Consider the following 20721-nt stretch of genomic DNA (forward strand, 5'->3'; position numbering starts at 1 on the left):
TTCTGTAGCTGTTGGTTAGGTCCATTTTATCCAGAGCCAAGTTCAAATCCTGAATATCCCTGTTAATTTTCTGCCTTGTTGATATGTCTAATATTGACAGTGGGGTGTAAAAATTTCTCACTATTATTGTGTGGGAGTCTAAATCTCTTTGGAGGTCTATAAGAACTTGTTTTATGAATCTGGGTGCTCCTGTATTGGGTGCATGTATATTTACAATAGTTAGCTCTTCTTGTTAAATTAATTGCTTTACCATTATGTAATGCCCTTCTTTGTCTTTTTTGATCTTCGTTGGCTTAAAGTCCATTTTGTCAGAGACTAGGTTTGCAACCCCTGTTTGTTTGCTTTCCATTTGCTTGATAAATTTTCCTCCATCCCTTTATTTTGAGCCTACGTGTGTCTTTGCACCTGAAATAGGTCTCCTAAATACAGCACACTGATGGCTCTGGACTCTTTATCCAATTTGCCAGTCTGTGTCTTTTAATTGGGGGCATTTAGCCCATTTACATTTAAGGTTACTATGGTTATATGTGAATTTGATCCTGTCATCATGATGCTATCTGGTTATTTTGCACAGTAGTCGATGCAGTTTCTTCATAGTGTCATTGGTCATTGGTCTTTATAGTTTGGCGTGTTTTTGCAGTGGCTGGTACCGCTTTTTCCTTTCTATATTTAGTGCTTCCTTCATGAACTCTTGCAAGGCAGTCCTGATGGTGACAAAATCCCTCAGCATTTGCTTGTCTGAAAAGCATTTTATTTCTCCTTTGCTAATGAAGCTTAGTTTGGCTAGATATGAAATTCTGGTTTGAAAATTATTTTCTTTATAAATGTTGAATATTGGTCCCCACTCTCTCCTGGCTGCAGGGTTTCTGCTGAGAGATCCACTCTTTGTCTGATGGACTTCCCTTTGTAGGTGACCTGGCCTTTCTCTCTGGCTGCTCTTAACATTTTTTTCTTCATTTTGACCTTGGAGAATCTGATAAGTATGTGTCTTGGGGGTAATCTCATGGTATATCTTAATGGTGTTCTCTGTATTTCCTGAATTTGAATGTTGGTCTGTCTTGTGAGGTTGGGGAAGTTCTCCTGGATAATATCCTGAAGTGTGTTTTCCAGTGTGTTTCCATTCTGTCTTTTTCCAGTATTCCAATCAATCATAGGTTCAGCGTTTTTACATAGTCCCATATTTCTCGGAGGCTTTGTTTGTTCCTTTTCATTCTTTTTTTCTCTAATCTTATCTGCATGCCTTATTTCAGCAAGGTGGTCTTCAAACTCTGATATCCTTTCTTCTGCTTTCAATTTGGCTATTGATATTTGCATTTATGTTCCTCTCTAAACTGGTTATTCTAATTAGCAGCTCCTTTAAACTTTTATCTGGTTCTTAGCTTCTTTGCATTGGGTTAGAACATGCTGTTTTAGCTCAGTGGAATTTGCTATTACACATCTTCTGAAGCCTACTTCTGTTAATTCATCCATCTCATCCTTTGTCCATTTCTGCACCCTTGCTAGAGAGGCGTTGCGGTCATTTGGAGAAGAGGTACTCTGGCCTTTTGGGTCTTCAGCGTTTTCTCATTGATTCTTTCTGATCTTCATGAGTTTGTCTAGTTTTGATATTTGAGGCTGCTGACCCTTGGATGGGGTTTTTGTGGGGACTTTTGTTGTTGATGCTGTTGACGTTGTTTTCTGTTTGTTTTTCTTTCAATAATCAGGTCCCTCTTCTGTAGGGCTGCTGTGGTTTGCTGGGGGTTCACTTCAGACCCTATTCATTTAGTTTGCTCCCACACCTGGAGATGTCACTCAAGAAGGCTGGAGAACACCAAAAATGGGTGCCTGCTCCTTCCTCTGTGATGTCTGACCTTGAGGGGTGCCAACCTAATGCCTGTATAGGGTGTCTGACAACCCCTATTGGAGGGTCTCACCCAATTGGGTGGCATGGGGAACAAGACCCATTTAATAAAGCACTTTGACTGTGCCTTAGTGGAAGGGGTGTGCTTCACTGGGGGGAAACCCACCCATCTGGGCTGCCTGGATTCCTCAGATCTAGCAGGAGGAAAAGCTAAGTCTGCTGGTCCATGGATACTATGGCCACCACTTCCCCAGAGGCTCAGGCCCAGGGAGATCAGAGTTCTGTCCCTGAGCCCCTGGCTGGAGTTTTTCGAGTTCTCGAAGGGAGGCCCCACCTAGTGAGGAGGGATGGGTCAGGGTCAGGCCTGAAGAGGCGCTATGGCCACAGTCTGCCACAGCCCGTATATTGGGCTGGGGGGACACCTGTTGGGACCAAGCTGTCCAGCCTCCCTGACTCCAGCAGGGGAAAAGCATGGCCTGTAGCTATAGAGATGGCTGCCTCCCTTCCCCTTCCCAGGGAGCCTAGAATGTTAGGCAGCTATCAGTCCCAGTGCTGGCTGCTGACCTTCACACAAGGAGCTCAAATGGCTTAGACTGCAGGCAGTCGCAGCTATGGTGCTGTCGGCCCCTGCTCCTGGGAACTCAGCAGGCTTAAGCAGATTCTAGTTGAGAGACAGTTGAGAATCTGTGCAGATCTGGGGTTGGGTCCCTAGGCCCTGGTGGCATGGGTTCACAAGTGGGATCTTCCAATCCATGGGTTTCACAGTTCTATGGAGAAAGCACAGTTTCCTGCGCTGGGTAGTATGCTTGCTCACTGCCTTCCTTGGTGCAGGGGTAGGGGCTCCCCTGCCCTGTGTGGCTCTCAGGTGGGCCGCTGCACCACATTGCTGTTCTTTCCTCTCTGTGGGTCACGCCAGCCACCTAGTCAGTTCTGATGAGAGAACCTGGATACTTTGGTTGCCGGTGCAGGATTCACACATTATTATGGTTCCCAAAGAGTCTATCCCAACTCCACTGAGTCCTTGGACATTTGGCCTTGAGATTTCAAGGCCATATGCATTTTTCTTGTTTGAGATAAGAAATGGGTACAGCTAAAGGAGACTAACTATGACATCTTCCATATTTTTTATCTGCCACAAATTTACACTTTGCACCACTCTGCGGGGTCCTCATAGTGACCCATCTACTGTCTAAGATACATCTGGCATGACTGCTTCCTTCAGTCAAACTCTAATGCTGCACTTCCTACCCCACTCTACCCTAAGCCTTGGTCCCTCCAGTTCAATCTCTTCAGAACTTATTTCTGGATAGGGTCAATAAAATCATTTATGCTAAAATTAAACTGTGTTAAAATGTTCTTCTTCTTGCATAATATATTTTTATTTTTGGCAAGTTTTTTGTCTATTTTGTAGAAGGGAGTCCTTTTTTTTTCCCTTTAAGTCAACACCCTAACCAAAACAAATTAATGAAAACTTCGGTACCTCAGAAGACAAGCAAAATCATATGATTATATATAATAATTCTTATATATATATAAATTAAAATGTGAATTTCAAGATGTTCAAGTCACTCATAAAGTCAACAGCTTAAGATATATACAAATTAAAAAGTGCTTCTTGTGCACACATTTGATTCAAATATCTACCCTGGCACATATCTAGATTTTATTCTGGAGAAAAACAATAAAAATTCAACGAGAATAACTGAATTTGAAACAAAGAAATTCTGTGTTTCAGAGACATCCAAAAATTCAAAATTGAATATTAAAACTCATCTCCAGGATCAATTTTGTTTTTAAAAACAATTTTAAAAATCAGTGGAATGCAGAAGTGAAAATAAATAGGAATCCATCATATAAAAATTCATTCTGCCTAGCCATATGTCCAATGTTCTCTTTTACCTACCCACATCCACAACTGAAAAGTGTTGTTTTTGTTGGACCCTAAGAGTTACATTACTCAGTCACAGTGAAATCATGATTGCTATGGATCTTGTACTATTGTGCAACACATAAGCTAGGATTGCAGCACTTGTGTAGTTTAGATATAGAGTTAAAATATTTAATGTGAAATACATAATTTTGAAATAAACGTCTCTCAAAGCAAGATTGCTTTAGTATATTTTATCACGTAACCTAATGGTATATTATGTAACCACTTAAAAGTACATTTAAAATGCTATATAGAAGTAATAAAATGTTTATAACTTTATAAAAAAGTTGAAATAGAACATGCCATATAATAACTCTAAATATAAACAATTAAAGGCTTAGAAAGCAATATGCAAAAAAAGAAAGTTGTGATTAAGTAATTAGATTAAGAATGATTTATTATGATTTTTCTTCAATGTTGGTAATAATTTCAACTAAAAATAACAAAGTTAATGTTTTCATATTTAGCTGTGACTTTCTGCTGTTAACAGATACTCACGGATGTGCTTTCAAATTGTGGAAAGTCATAAAATCATCTGCCTTTCAGTATATTATGATAGCAATATTCTTTTAAACACCAAATTGTGGAACGTATATACCCCATTTAAGGCATTCCATATTTAAGATTTCTCATCTGATTTCATCATTTCTTCTTGGTGAGTGCTATTGGCTGATGAGTTTATTTATTTTCCTTTGGTTCAGAGCAAATATTTTCACTATTCAAATTATGCTTTGAACATCATACTACTAATTACACACAAAGTATGGTTCCTTCATAATCTTTTATGACATTATCAATAGAAAGCAAATCAATGCATATCTCCAACCAAGAATTCCAAGTTCGTGCAGCTTATACAAACATCAGTTTGACTAGAAATATGTATATGTTTATTTTTATTTTCTGACTAGAAAGAAAAGAACAACTGAAGAATGTTAATGACCCCACTTACATAAAAATGTATAGGTGACTATCAGACTTTCTGAAACATTATGTATATATAGTCATGCCTCATTTAATGATAGAAATATGTTCTGAGAAATATGCCATTGGGTGATTTTGTCATTGTGGGAAATCATGCAGCATACTTACAAAAATCTAGATGGCATAGCTCACTACACACTTAGGCTATAAGATATAGCCTATTGCTCCTAGGCTACAAGCTTGTATATGTATAGCATGTTACTGTATTGAATACCATAAGCAATTGTGACACAATTGTATTTGTATATCTAAACATATTTGAATATGGAAAAAGTAATATGTTACACTATGACCTTATGACAGTTGTGATGTCACTAGGTGGTAGGAATTTTTCTACTCCATTATAATCTTATGGGACCATCATCATATACATGGTCATTCATTGACCAAAATGTCATTATGCAGGGCATGACTGTATAGGGACAATTTAGATTTAAATATTTGTCTAGTAATTGGTGTCATAAAATGGGGAGAAAATCTTCATGTAATCATTAAAGAGGATTTCTAATATCTGCCCTGGGTTAATGGTCAAACAAAGCAGGCACAGGGATGCAGAATCATGTGTGTCAGGAAACCACACAAGCCTCCTGCCAGGTAACTCCTAGAGGTCATTATCACAGAACATTCCCTAAAGGCCCTTCTCTTCCTTTTGGGTTGCCTCCATCACCACCACTACAGTCCTCTTTTCTCTCCTTTACCAGCCGACTCCCACCTAATCAATATTGAGGGACCTTGTTTCCCCTTGAGTTCTTAAAATTGAAGGTCACAATGCAGAAAAATATAGGTGAGTTTGATTTTTCCATTAGCTTAGTCCCACTAAAAGGGGAACCCTCTGCGTTCCAGACATGAATGTTAAACAGCAGATTCTAAAGCCGACAGCAGCACATCCACCTCCCACTATCTGAATTTCTGACACATTTCAAAATGGCAGGTACTCCAGTCTATAATTCATAGAACCTATCACTTCGTTCCAGCCACCTCTTCTCTTGAAGGAGACCTCTGTGATCTTTGGAGTTTTGTCTTAGCCTCACTCATCTTCCTGTTAGGTTATGGTTAATATGTGACAACTTATACCTCTCCCATAAAATCAAGATTCTAGAAATTTAATGTTAAAACATTTCCTAAGCAAGAGGAGATAAATAGTGTATTAGTCTGTTTTGTGTTGCTACAAAGGAATACCTGAAGTAGGCAATTTATAAAGAAAAGAGGGTTATTTGGCCCATGGTTCTGCAGGCTGTACAAGCATGGTACCAGCATCTGTTTCTAGTAAGGGCTTCAGGGAGCTTTTGCTCATGGCAGAAGGCAAGCAGGGCTGACCAGCCACATGGTGAGAGAGGAAGCAAGAGAGAAATGGGCTCTTTTAAACAATCCAATCTCAGGGGAACTAACAGAATGAGGACTTACTCATTATTGTGGAAAGGGCACCAAGCCATTCATGAGAGATCTGCCCCCACGACCCTAACACCGTCCACTAGGCTCCAACTCTAATACTGGGGGTCACATGTCAACATGAGATTTGCAGGGAGCATATATCCAAACTATATTATTGATGAGTTTAGTAAGATAAATGGGTCACTCATTATAGTAAAAGTCTTGATTCCTTGAGCAATTAGAGGCCAGGCATTACAGTAAACACTTTCAATATCATTTAATCCATATAAAAATCCCATTTGACAAATAAGAACATTGATGAATATTTCAATTCAAGTCTGGCTGACTCCAACACACTTGTACTATACTCCACTATCACCCAATCTCTATACTGAATATACTAACCTGCCCTGTCCATTGTCTCTGTGCTCAGGTCCTAGATCCTGCACTCCTATTTATTTGGAATCTTAACACGAAACCCAATATTAGTTGTAAAATAGGACCATCTCTATGCATTAGTTATCAATTGGTGCATAACAACTTGCTCTGAAATTTGGCAGTTTAAAACAGCAAGTATTTATTTTCTCCATTTCTGTAGATCACAAGCCTGGGCATGGCTTATTTGGGCTCTCTGGCTCAACAACAGTTCCTCATGAGATTGGAGTTGAGCTATTGGCCAAGGCTGCAGTTTCATATAAAGGTTTGACTGGGGCTGAGGGAAGTTGGAGGATCTGCTTCCAAGCTCACTCATGTGGAAGTTGGCAGTCCCCAGTCCCTTCCCACATGAACCTTTTACAGAATTTTCTCAAAACATGGCAGCTTGTTTCTTCCTGAAGAGTGATCTGAGAAAGCGGAGAAAGAACAAAAGACAGTCCTCAAGACAGAAGCCACAGTATATTATAATCTAATCATGGGTTATATGCTATAACTTCTGCTATATTCTCTTCACTACAAGCAAGTCACAAATTCAGCTCATACTAAAGCAGAGAGGATTATATAAGGTGTGAACACCTGTAAGCTAGGCCATTTGGTTCCATCTTAGAGGTTGCCTACCCCACTCCCCCAACACTCCCACCACCTATGTGTCATCCCCCTGTGTCCCTTCATCTTTAAGTCATAATTGTGCTTATCAATAGCAGGGATTTTATACATGTTTATCTAACTCTTAGCCATTGTTCTTGGGCTCAGGAGTCTGACTTTCGTCTTAAAAAGATACTTGAAATCTTTATTATATAATGCCAGAAGTCTTTTTCATGTTTCTTATTGTTGGGTTAAGTTGTTCAGACTATAGTGGAAGCTAGATTTGCGTTGGAGGGAATCTTGACTTTCTCTTCTTCTGCTTGCCAATATAGGCCCTGGCTCCCCTAATGTGAGCCTCCAAGTTTAGTCAGCCCCTCTATTATTTCTAAATGAGCAAAATATTTTCATACCTAACCTGTAATAATTTATCTGAATATACTTATATGAGCTTCAGATGATTTTTACTAGTTTTAAATGCCTACCCTACCTGCACTCCATAGCCTCATACCCCAGTCCCTCATTCTTGCCTTTCCCGGAATAAATCTTTTCCAGGGCACACCTTTCTCATCCTTACCTTCAGAGATTTTTTTCCCTGGTGTCAGATCTTCCTGCACTAGTATGTAGTCATCTCTTTCACTGCTGCTTCTAGGAAGCTCCTTGACTTGGGGTCCTTCCTTCAGTCTTATTCAAGTTGCTGCTCCATAGCTTTTACCAAGTTGCCACAACAAATTATGCTGTTTGGTGAAGCTTAGTCCTTTCTAACTTTCAACCTAGTATTAGTACTTGACCTGGTCATAATAATGTTCTCAAATTTTATTTTACTTTGCTACAAACATTTTTCAGGTGAAGATTCCATAACACATTTCCTCTATCAGCTTTCACTTTCTGGTAGAAGAAAAAATGAAATACCAATGAAGTAATCACTTTGAGAAGATTTTTGAGGGTTTATATTTTCACATTTGATTCAGTAAGAGGAATATGAGTAATTCACATTTGAATTGTTATCTTTATATGTTTTAAAGTTATATATTGAGGCCAAGTGCAGTGGCTCATGACTATAATTCTATCGCTGTGGGAAGCCAAGGCAGAAGGATTGCTTGAGGCCAGTTGTTTGAGATCAGCCTGGGCAACATAGCAAGACCCCATCTCTACAAAAGAAAAACTTTAAAAAATAGCTAGGCATGGTAGTGCACACCTGTAGTCTCAGCTACTTGGAAGGCTGAGGTGGGAGGATCACTTGAGGCCAGGAATTCAAGGTTGCAATAAGCTATGATTGTGCCACTGCACTCCAGAGAGGGTGACAGAATGACTCTGTCACAAAAATCATAAAATAGCATTAAATGAAGTTAGATATTAAGAGATTATAGCTCTAAATATACATTAAAATTTATTATAAAGCTAAGCAAATCATCTATAACAAATACCTTGATAATAATGAAGACAAATAATGATAATTTATTGTTAGGAAAAACAGGAATCAAAAAAATCAAAGCAAAATTAATGCTGACGATTTACTGCTATGTAAAGCATTCTTTCCTAAAATTTCAGAAATTTCATCTATCAGTCTGTATGCATGAGCAATGGGACTTGCCCAATAGTACCAAGTATTAATGGAATACTTAAAGAGATTTCTGAGTATAGTCATCCTTGGCATTTGTTGGAGAATGACTCCAGGACCCCTGCAGATACCAAAATCCATGGATCCTCAAATCCTGCAGTCAGCCCTGTGGGACCCACAGACAGGAAAAGGCCCTCCATTATCTGCAGGTCCCACATCCAAATAATACTGTATTTTCAATCTGTGGTTGATTGAATCCTCAGATGCAGAACCTGCAGATACAGAGGGTCAATTGTACTTTAACAATATAGTAACATTAGTTTAAAAATATTACTAGTTAATCCTTTATAATTTGCTTAACTTACTAGTCAACAATGCTAAGTTGTACCTAAAAATTCTATTGCTTTGTCTATCATCCATTCATAAGACAAAAAAGAAAGGGCATACATTTTCAACTAAATTTTCAGCACAGCAAGGAAAATTCTTGGCTATTACAGGTCCACATCCTTTGACAGCCATAGAATCACATATAGTTGAGAATTTTTCAGATTTAAGAAAAAAGACAGTGCATATACTGTATATGATATACCAACCAAAGTGCCAGGAGCAGTACCCTGTAACCAAATACATTAGTATGTTTGTGGTAAAACATATATTAAGTGAGATAAAGACTATAAATAACTTTAAATCATTTCAGATCTGCATTTGATGCCAAATGAGTTTACATCAAATTTAAGAAAAATCTTTTGGCTCTATTAATTTGGGGATTTTGTAGTTTGTGGTGAAGAGATTGTAGATTTATACAGTGTTCCAGGTTGCTTTTCAGAGCTGAAATGTTTGAACCACTCTGAGGTTAATAATTACCAGTGCCCACCTCCATGATCTTTCTATAAAAACTCCCATGAGTTTCTCCAACGCCATTATTTTCCCGTTTCTACTAAAGCAGTGAAAAACTAAGGAAATGTGCATGTGCTTTTTATCCTTATCAACTTTACTGAGAATTATTTTTCAATAAGTAATTTACATACAATAAAAGAAATCCATTCAAAGTATACAAATCTATGAGTTTTGACAGTTGCATACACCTGTGAAACCAAGGCCATGATCAAGATATAAACCATTTCCAATATCTTCAAAAGATTTCATATGCCCTTTATAATTCATTCCTTTCTCCACTTTCCCACTCCACTTCACCATTTGGCCACTGTTCTGCCTTTTTTTCCACACAGATTAGTTTTCATTTTATATCATAGAATCATATAGTATGTCCTCTTTTGTATCTCTTTCTTTCACTCTGCATAACGTTTTTGAGACTCCTCCATGTTGCTGCATGTATCAGCAGTCCCTCTTTTCATTCTTCAGTATTATTTTAACATACAGCATACCACATTTTGTTTATCATTTATCTTTTGACAGATATTTATATTGTTTCCAGTTTGGGACTATTGTCAATCAAGCAGCTCTCTTTGCATGCACACACATTTTCCCTTCTCTTTGGAATCAAACCCTAGGATCAAAAAAGAAGGATCAACTAGTATATGTATATTCAACCTATTAAGAAACCAGCATTTTTTTCCCAGAGTCGTTTGTCTATATTTCTATTGGGTTACTTTTCTTCTTGTGATTGTGCTGTAAGAGTTCTCTTCTCTGGACACAAGTCCTTTGTCAAAGACACATATTGGAATATTTTCTCCCATGTTATGGCTTGCCTTTTCATTTTTAATGGATATCTTTTGAAGAACAAACGTTTTGAATTTTGATAAAATTCAATTGATCAACTTTTTCACTTATCACTAAGATTTTCTCCTACTCTTTAAAGAGTTTTAGAGTTTTAGATTCATATTTAAACTTACTACTCTTTGGAGTTAATTTTTTTGTGTGGTGTGAAATAAGGGTCAATATTCCTTTTTAAAATAAATCTCTCCCATTGTTCTGGCACCATTTGATTTAAAATACTTTATTTCTCTACCAAATTATCTTGACATTTGTTGTTGAAAATCAGTTGTCCATGTATGTGTGCCATTATTCCTAGGCTTGATATTCTGTTTCCCTGACATATGTATCTATCCTCTGGACAATATTGCCATCAAGCAAGAGGCACCTGTTGATTATTATCAGGAGCAGAAATCTGATCACTTCTGCCCACTGCATCTTAGTATCAGGCTCACCAAGGAAAACACAACCAGTCAAGCACTGAAAGACACAGAGCAAAATCAGCTTCATTACTGAGTGTTAGTCCCAATGGCCAGCAGGTCCCTCCTGGCAGCCCTTAATGGACAGTTGGCCTGCACACAGCCCCCTTGTGCTACAGCAACAGGACCCTATCTTTTCTCTGCACAAAATGGATGTAACGGTGTGTTTAGCCAGGTACCATATGATACACACACTTAAATAAAAAAGGATTACACAATGAGTCTGAAAGAGGGAAAGATATCTCCACACAGGGTGATAAGTGCAGCACAGAATTTGAGGATTCTGTGTCTCTTAGTAAGAATTCCTAGCCCAAGGTCCCTTCTTTTCTTTTCTAATTTTTAAAAAATTGTATATATTTAAGTTGTACAAGATAATGTTTTGCTATATATATTGATATGGTTTGGATGTATCTCCACCCAAATCTCACCTTGAATTGTAACTTCCACAATTCCCACATGCCATGGGAGGAACCTGGTGGAAGGTAATTGAATCATGGGGGCGGGACTGTCTTGTGCTATTCTTGTGATAGTGAATAAGTCAAATGAGACTGATGGTTTTAAAAATGAGTTTCCCTGCACAAGCTCTCTCTCTCTTTGCCTGCTGCCATCCACATAAGATGTGACTTACTTCTCCTTGCCTTCCACCATGATTGTGAGGCCTCTCTCTCTAGCCATGTGGAACTGTAAGTCCAATAAACCTCTTTCTTTTGTAAATTGACCAGTCTCAGGTATGTCTTTATCAGCATCATAAAAATGGACTAATATAGCAAATTGGTGCCAGTAGAGTGGGGCACTACTGAAAAGATACCCAAAAATGTGGAAGTGACTTTGAAACAGAGTAACAGGCAGAAGTTGGAACAGTTTGGAGGGCTCAGAAGGAGAGAGAAAAATGTGAAAAAAGTTGGAACTTCCTAGAGACTTGTTGAATGGCTTTGACCAAAATGCTGATAATGATATGGATGATGAAATCCAGGCTGAGGTGGTCTCAGATGGAGATGAGGAACTTGTCTGGAACTGAAGCAAAGGTGACTCTTGTTAGGTTTTAGCAAAGAGACTGGTGGCATTTTGCCCCTGCCCTAGAGACTTGTGGAACTTTGAGCTTGAGGGAGATGACTTAGAGTATCTGGCAGAAGAAATTTATAAGCAGTAAAATATTCAAGAGGTGACTTGGGTGCTGTTAAAAGCATTCAGTTTTATAAGGGAAGCAAAGCATTAAAGTTCAGACGTTTGCAGCCTGGCAATATGATAGAAAAGAAAATCCCATTTTCTGAGGAGAATTTCAAGCCAGCTGAAGAAATTTGAATAAGTAACGAAGGGCCAAATGTTAATCCCCAAGACAATGGGGAAAATGTCTCCAGAGCATGTCAGAGGTCTTCACAGCAGCCTCTCATATCACAGGTCCAGAGGCCTAGGAGGAAAAAATGGTTTCGTGGGCCAGGCCCAGGATCCCTGTGCTGTGTGCTGCCTAGGGACTTGGTGCTGTGCATCTCAGCCACTCCAGCTGTGACTAAAAGGGGCCAAAATATAGTTCTGGCCATGGCTTCAGAGGATGCAAGCCCCAAGCCTTGGCAACTTCCATGTGGTTTTGAGCCTGCAGGTGCACAGAAATAAAGAATTGAAGTTTGGGAACCTCTACCTAGATTTCAGAAGATGTATGCAAATGCCTGGATGCCCAGGCAGAAGTTTGCTACAGGGGTGGGGTTCTCATGGAGAAACTCTGCTAAGGCAGTGTGGAAGGGAAATGTGTGATCCGAGCCCCCACACAGAGACCCTAATGGGGCACTGCCTAGTGGAGCTCTGAGAAGACGGGCACTGTCCTCCAGACCCCAGAATGGTAGATCCACCTACAGCTTGTACCATGTGCCTGGAAAAGCTGCAGACACTTAATGACAGCCCATGAAAGCAGCTGGAGGGAGGCTATACCCTGGAAAGCCACAAGGGGAAGAGCTGCTCTAGACCATGGGAACCCACCTCTTGCATCAGGATGACCTGGATGTGAGACATGGAGTCAAAGGAGATCATTTTGGAACTTTAAGGTTTAATGATTACCCTATTGGATTTTGGAGTTTCATGGGGCCTGTAGCCCCTTTGTTTTGGCCAATTACTCCCATTTGGAATGGGTGTATTTACACAATGTTTGTACCCCCATTGTATCTATGAAGTAACTAACTTGCTTTTGATTTTACAGGCTCATAGGTGGAAGGGACTTATCTTGCCTCAGATGAGACTTTGGACTGCGGACTTTTGACTTAATGCTGAAATGAGTTAAGACTTTTGGTGACTGTTGGAAAGGCATGATTGTGTTTTGAAATGTGAGGACGTGAGATTTGGGAGGGGCCAGGGGTAGAAATAATATGGTATGGATGTGTCCTCACCCAAATCTCATCTTGAATTGTAACTCCCACAATTCCCACATGTCATGGGAGAAACCCAGTGGGAGGTAATTGGATCATGGGGGCCGGTCTGTCCTGTGCTATTCTCATGATAGTAAATAAGCCAAATGAGATCTGATGGTTTTAAAAATGGGAGTTTCTCTGCATAACCTCTCTCTCTCTCTCTCTCTCTGCCAGCTGCCATCCATGTAAGATGTGACTTGCTCCTCCTTGCCTTCTGCCATGATTGTGAGACCTCCCTAGCCATGTGGAACTATAAGACCAATAAACTTCTTTCTTTTGTAATTTGTCCAGTCTCAGGTATGTCTTCATCAGCAGTGTAAAAATGGATGAATACATATATATATATATAGTGAAATGATTACTACAAGTAAGTAAATGAGCATATCTCTCACCTTTAATAGCTTCCTCTTTTTTGTGGGGGTAAGAGGTAAGAACACATAAAATCTAATCTCTTGGAAAATTCTTCAATATGCAATACAATATTCTAAACTATAACCCTCCTGCTGAAAAGTATTTTCTGCAACATTTTTCACGTGTGGCTTATCTCACTTAGCATAATGTCCTCCAGGTTCCTCCATGTGGTCACAAATGGGAGTATCTCAGTATCTCGTTTTAAAGGCTAAATAATATCCCATTGCATACATATGCAATAGAATACATATATAAAATATATATGTAACTTTTTTATTCATTAATGCAATGATAGACACTTAGGTTGTTTTTATATCTTAGTTCTTGTAAATAATGCTGTGGAAAACAGGAGTACACAGATATCTCTACGTGGTCATTATTTTATTTTCTTTGGGTGTTTATCCAGCAAAGAGATTGCAGGGCCATATATATGGTAGTTCTACTTTTAGTTTTTTTGAAGAATCCCCATATTATTTTCCATAATGGCTGTACCAATTTACATTCTCAGGAACAGTGTAAAAAAATTCCCTTTTTTCCACATCTTTGTCAACACTTATGTCTTGTCTTTCTTATAATAGTTATCCTAACAAGTGTGATATAATATCTTGTTGTGGATATTCAATAAATTTTAGATATCACACCAAGAACTCAGGTGACAAAAGCAAAAATGAATAAGAGACTACACAAAACTGAAAACTTCTACAAAAATGAACATGAGACTATATCAAACTGAAAATTTCTGCACAGCAAAGAAAACAATTAACAGAATGGAAAGGCAGCCTAAAGATTTGGAGGAAAACATTGCAAACCATATATTATAAAAAGTTAATATTCAAAATATATAAGGAACTTTCACACAACTCAATAGCAAAGAAACAAATGACCTGATTAAAAAATGGGCAAATGACATGAATAGGCATTTTCCTGAAGAAGACATACAAATGGCAAGTAGGTATGTGAAAATATACCCAACATTGCTAATTGCAAATCGAAACCAAGTTCCATTCTTATGCAGCCAAATAGGGGTGCATAAGACTATCTTTCCCCACAGCAACATCTTAATTGCTGTAGTTTGATAATAACTCTTTAAATCAGGAAGTATCAGACCTCCAAATTTGTTCTTGTTAAAAATAATTTTTGTTATTCCAGATTATTTGAATTGTAATATAAATTTTAGAATCAACTTATTAATTTCATTTTTTTCTGTATCCTATTGCAATTGCATGACATTTATACATCAATTCAGAGAGAATTGATATCTTAACAATATTGAGTTTTCTAGTCCAAAAACACGACATATTGCTCTACTTAGTTAAGGTTTCTATAATGTCTTTCAGCAATATTTTGCGATATTTAGTTTAAAGGATTTACATTGATTTTGTTAAATTTATGTATTTATTGTTGTTATTGTAAGTTGAATTATATTCTCATTTTCCAATTGTTTACTGCAGTATATAAAATGCAGTTTACTTTTATATATTAACATGTATCCTGCAACCTTGATACATTTATTTAATAATTGTAATAATTGTTTTATGAGTTTCTAAGGACCTTCTAAATAAACAATTACATCACCTGCAAATAGATACAGCTTAACTTCTTAACTTCTTACATTTCTAAGTATATGCCTTTTTTTAAAAAATGGCTTGTTGCAATAGCAATAGCTAGAACAACCCCACCCCAATACAACACTGAAACAAAGTGGTAATAGCTCATCTTGTTCCTGGTCTTAAAAGGAAAGTGTTCAATAATTAACCATTAAGCATAATGTTAACTGCAGAATTTTTTACAGATGCTTTTTAAAAACAACATTGAGGTTATTCCTGCTTTACTCTATTTTATTGAGAGATATTTTATTTTAAACATGAATGAGAGTTGAATTTTGTCTGGTGTTTATTCTTCATCTATTGAAGTAATCATAAATTTTTTCTCTTTATTTTTTATTAGCATTGATTTTTCAATACTAAACAAATCTTTCATTCTATAAATAAACCTGACTTAGTGATGACATACTGTCCTCTTTATGTATTGCTGGATACAATTCTAAAATATTTTATTAAAAATTTCTGTGTACATGTTCATGAGGGTTACTTGTCTGTAGGTTTTTTTTCCCTTTAACATCTATTGTATCTATTTCTGCTTTGGTATCATACGAATACTGGCCTCATAAAATTACTTGGTATCTGTTCCCTCTTCTGCAACTTTTTGCAAAAATTTATGAGAAAGTTCTATTATTTCTTCCTTAAATGTTCAGTAGACTAGAATTTATGAGTGAAGGCATCTGGTCTACAGTTTTCTTAGTAGGTAACTTTTTCATTAAAAATTTATTTTCTGAGGGGGAGGCAGAGCAAGATGGCTGAAGAGGAGCCTCTAGCAACTGACCCCAACCTTCCCCTCCAGGAACTGAACAAATTCACACAAGAAAGCACCTTCATAAGAACCAAAAATCAGGTGAACAATCACAGTGCCTGGTTTTAATATTGTATCAAGAAAAGAGGCACTAAACAGGGTAAGAAAGGCAGCCTTGAATTGCCTATACCACCCTACCCCCATACCCTGGGGGTGGCAACATCGTATGGAGAGAGAATCTGTATGCTCGGGGTTGGAGGCACAGCAAAATGATTATGGGATTTTGCATTGGAACTCAGTGTGGCTCTGTCACAGTGGAAAGCAATATGGGGCAAAATTTGGCAGGTGCCCATTAAGGGAGCATTTAGACTAGCCTTAGCCAGAGGGAAATCATACATTCCAGCAGTCAGAACCTACTTCCAGCAGGCCTTTTGACCATGGACTAAAGGGCTCTGAGGTTCTAAATAAACTTGAGCAGTAGTCAAGGTCACAAGGACTGCAATTCCTGGGCAAGTCCTGATGCTGTGCTGGGCTTGGAGCCAATGGACTTGGGGCACATGCAACCCAGTGAGACACCAGCTGGGATGGTCACCCTCCCCGACTCCAGGCAGTGCAGCTCACAGCTCCAAGAGGAGAGGAAAGAGTAAAGATAGCCCTGTCTTGCAACTTGGATACCAGCTCAGTCACAGTAAACTAAAGCACCAAGCAGAATCCTAAAGCCCCTATTCAAGGGCATAGCTCCTGGACATTTCCAGACTAGGCCAGAAGAGAACCCATTGCCATAAAGTGAAGGACCTGGTGCTAGAATAATATACTACTTTTTGACTGAAGAGCCCTTGAGCCTCGAATAAACATGAGCAGTAGCCAGGCAACAGTTACCATGGGCCTTGGGCAACACCCAATATTGTGCTGACTCAGTGTGACCCAACATATTCCCAGCTGTGGTGGCCATGGGGAGAAATTCCTTCTGCTTGAGGAAAGTAAAGGTAAAGGTAAAGAGAACTTTTGTCTTGCAACCTGGGTACCAGCTCAGTCCCAGTAAAATAAAGCACCAATCAGAGTCCTAAAGCCCCTAATCCTAGGCCCTAACTCCTAAAAAGCATTTCTAGACCTATTCTGAGCCAGAAGGGTACCTGCCACACTGAAGAGAAAGAACCCCCCTGGCAGGATTCATCAACTGCTGACCAAACAGCCTTCAATAAATACCAGCAGTAGTGAGAAAATCATTGCCACAGGCCTTGGGCAAGACCCACTACAGGGTTAGCTTTAGGTATGACTTAGCACAGTCCCAGCAGTGATAGACACAGGAATGCTTGTGTCGTCCCTCACCAACTTCAGGCAGCTTAGCATGGAAAGGAACAGATCTTTACTTTGGGTGAAAGTAAGGGGGAAAAAAAAGAGTCTTTGCTTTGTAAGCCAGAGAATTCTCCCAGAACTTACCCAAGACCACCAAGGTGACACCTCTACAAGTCTGAAAGAGTCAAAGCATTACTGGGCTTGAGATGCCCCCTAATGCAGATACAGCTGCAGTGACCAAATATTTAGACCACAACACTGAATTCCCTTTGAATACTTGCAAAGCCATCTGAAGAAGGACAGGTACAAACAAACCCAGACTGTGAAGATTGGATAAATACCTAACTCTTCAACGCCCAGATATCAATGAACACCCACAAGCATGAAGACTATCTAGGAAAACATAACCTCACCAAATGAACTAAATAAGGCACCAGTGACCAATTCCAGAGTGACAGAGCTATGTTACCTTTCAGACACAGAATTCAACATAGCTGTTTTGAGGAAACTCAATGAAATTCAAGATAATACAGAGAAAGAATTCAGAATTATATCGATAAATTCAACAAAGAATTGAAATAATTAAAGAGAATTAAGCAGAAATGTTAGAGCTGAAAATTTTAATTGCCAAACTGAAGAATGTGTCAAAGTCCGTCAAAAATCAGTAATGACCAAGCAGAAGCAAGGATTAGTGTGCTTGAAGATAGGCTATTTGAAAACACACAGTCAAAGGAGTCAAAAGAAAAAAGAATAAAAAATAATGAAGCATGCCAATAAGATCTAGAATATAGCTTCCAAGGGGCAAATGTAAGAGTTATTGGCCTTAAAGAGGAGGTGGGGAGAGTGATTGGGTAGAAAGGTTTCTTAAGGAGATAACAGAATTTTTCCAACCTAGAGAAATATATTAATATTCAAGCACAAGCAGGTTATAGAACACCAAGCAAATTTAACCCAAATAAGACTACCTCAAGACAATCACGAAATTCCCAAAGATCAAGGATAAAGAAAGTGTCCTAAAAACAGCAAGACTAAAGAAATAAATAACATGTAAAGGAGCTCCAATACATCTGGCAGCAGATTTCTCAGTGGAAACCTTACAGGCCAGGAGAGAGTAGTATAATATATTTAAAGGGATGAAAGAAAAAAATTATCCTAGACCATTATATGCAGCAAAAATGTCCTTCAAATATAAAGGATAAATAAAGGCTTTCTCAGACAAACAAAAGTTGAGGCATTTCATCAACATCAGACCCCTTTTTGGGGGGTTTCTTGGACAGCCCCCAAGAAATGCTAAGGGGAATTCTTTAATCTGAAAGTGACCTTAACAAGCAATAAGAAATCATCTGAAGGTACAAAACCAGTCGGTAACAGTAAATAAACGCACAAATGCAGAATGTTATAACACTGTATTTGTAGTGGGTAAATGCTCGTATCTTGAGTAGGAATATTAAAAGATGAACCTATCAAAAATAATACCTACAAAAACCTTTTAAGACTTGACTGTATAAGAAGATATAAATAGAACAGCAAAATTTTAAAAAGCAGGGACTATGAAGTTGGTGTAGCTTTTATGTTTTCTTTTTGTTTCTTAGTTTGTTTTGCAATCAGAGTTAACTTGTCATCATTTTAAAATAATGGGTTATAAGATTTTATTTGCAAGCCTCATGGTAACCTCAAATCCAAAAACCTCAAGAGACATACAAAAAATATAAAGCAAGAAATTAAATCATAACACCAGAGAAAAACACTTTCACAAAAAGGAAGACAAGAAGGAAAGGAAAAAAAAAGGAAGGAAGAAAAGACTAAAAATGAACCAAAAAACAAATAACAAAATAACAATATGGTATAAAGTCCTTACTTAATAATAACATTGAATGTAAATGGTCTAAACTCTCCAATTAAAAGAGAGTAGCAGAATGGATTAAAAAAAAAAGACCCAATGATCAGTTCCCTATAAGAAAGACAGTTCATCTATAAAGACACATATAGACTATAAATAATGGTATGGAAAGAGATATTCCATAAAAATGAAAGCCATAAAATATCAGCAATGGTAAGACTTAGATAAGATAGACTTCAAGACAAAAGGTACGAAAAGAGACCAAGATTGTTATTACATAATGATAAAGGAAATCAATTCAGCAAAAGAGTATATAAATTGTAAATATATATGCACTCAACATTGGAACATCCAGATATGTAAAGCAAATATTATCAGAGCTAAAGAGAGAGACTTCAGTACACTAACAGTTGGAAAATTTAACACCCCTTTTTCAGCATTTGACAGATCATCCAGACAGAAAATCAACCAAGACTAATTGAACCTAATCTGCACTGTACGCTAAATGGACTTAATAGAAGTTTACATAACATTTTATCCAACAGCTGCAGAATCCAAATTCTTCTCCTAAGTACATGGATCATTCTCAAGTATAGACCATATGTTAGGTCACAAAACGAGTCTTAAAACATTCAAAAAATTTGAAATCATATCAAGTAATTTCTCTGACCACAATGGAATAAAACTAGAAATTAATAACAACAGAAACTTTGGAAATGATACAAACACATGGAAATTAAATAATATATTCCTGAATGACCAGTGAGTCAATGAAGAAATTAAGAAGAAAATTTAAAAACTTCTACCAGCCCAGTGTTACCTTGGTACTGAAACCAAAAAAGACATATTAAAAAAAGACTATAAGACAGTATCTCTGATGAAGAATGCTGTAAAAATCCTCAACAAAATACCAGCAAACTGAATTCAATAACGTATTAAAAAGATCATTCATCATGACCAGGTGGCATTCATCCCAGTGATGCAAGGATAGCTCAACATATGCAAACTGATCAATGTCATACATCGTATCACAGAATGAAGAACAAAAGCCATATGATAATTTAAAACTGAGGCTGAATAAATATTTGATGAAATTCATCATCCCTTCATGATATAAACCCTAAAAAACTGGGTATAGAAGGGAACATATTTCAACACAATAAAAGCCATATATGACAGACCCACAGCTAATATAATACTAAATGAGCAAACACTGAAAGCCTTTGTTCTAAGATATGGAACAAGACAAGGATGCCCCATTTTTACCAGTGTTATTTAACACATTACCTGACTTCCCTAACTAGAGCAATCAGAAAACAGAATGAAATAAAAGGCATGAAAATTGGAAAGAGAAAGAAGTCAAATTATTCTTGTTTGCAGATAATGCGAACTTATATTTGGAAAAACTTAAAGATTCTACAAAAAACTATTAAAACATAAATAAATTCAGTAAAGTCTCAGGTTACCAAATCAATAGCACTTCTATTAATACATGCCACCAGTGAACAATCTGAAAAGATATCAATACAGTAATCTA

General features: G+C 37.7%; 1 annotated feature.

Annotated features, from left to right (window-relative positions):
• Positions 16674-17873: an enhancer, noted in NCBI's record as "MED14-independent group 3 enhancer chr14:38951414-38952613 (GRCh37/hg19 assembly coordinates)". NCBI's record gives its function as "activates an origin of replication core promoter dependent on BRD2, BRD4, P300/CBP and CDK7 cofactors, and independent of MED14, by STARR-seq in HCT116 cells {active_cell/tissue: HCT116}" and the evidence as "EXISTENCE:reporter gene assay evidence [ECO:0000049][PMID:35650434]".

This window comes from Homo sapiens, chromosome 14 (genome assembly GCF_000001405.40).
Source record: "Homo sapiens chromosome 14, GRCh38.p14 Primary Assembly".
In the NCBI taxonomy this organism is placed as follows: Eukaryota; Metazoa; Chordata; class Mammalia; order Primates; family Hominidae; genus Homo; species Homo sapiens.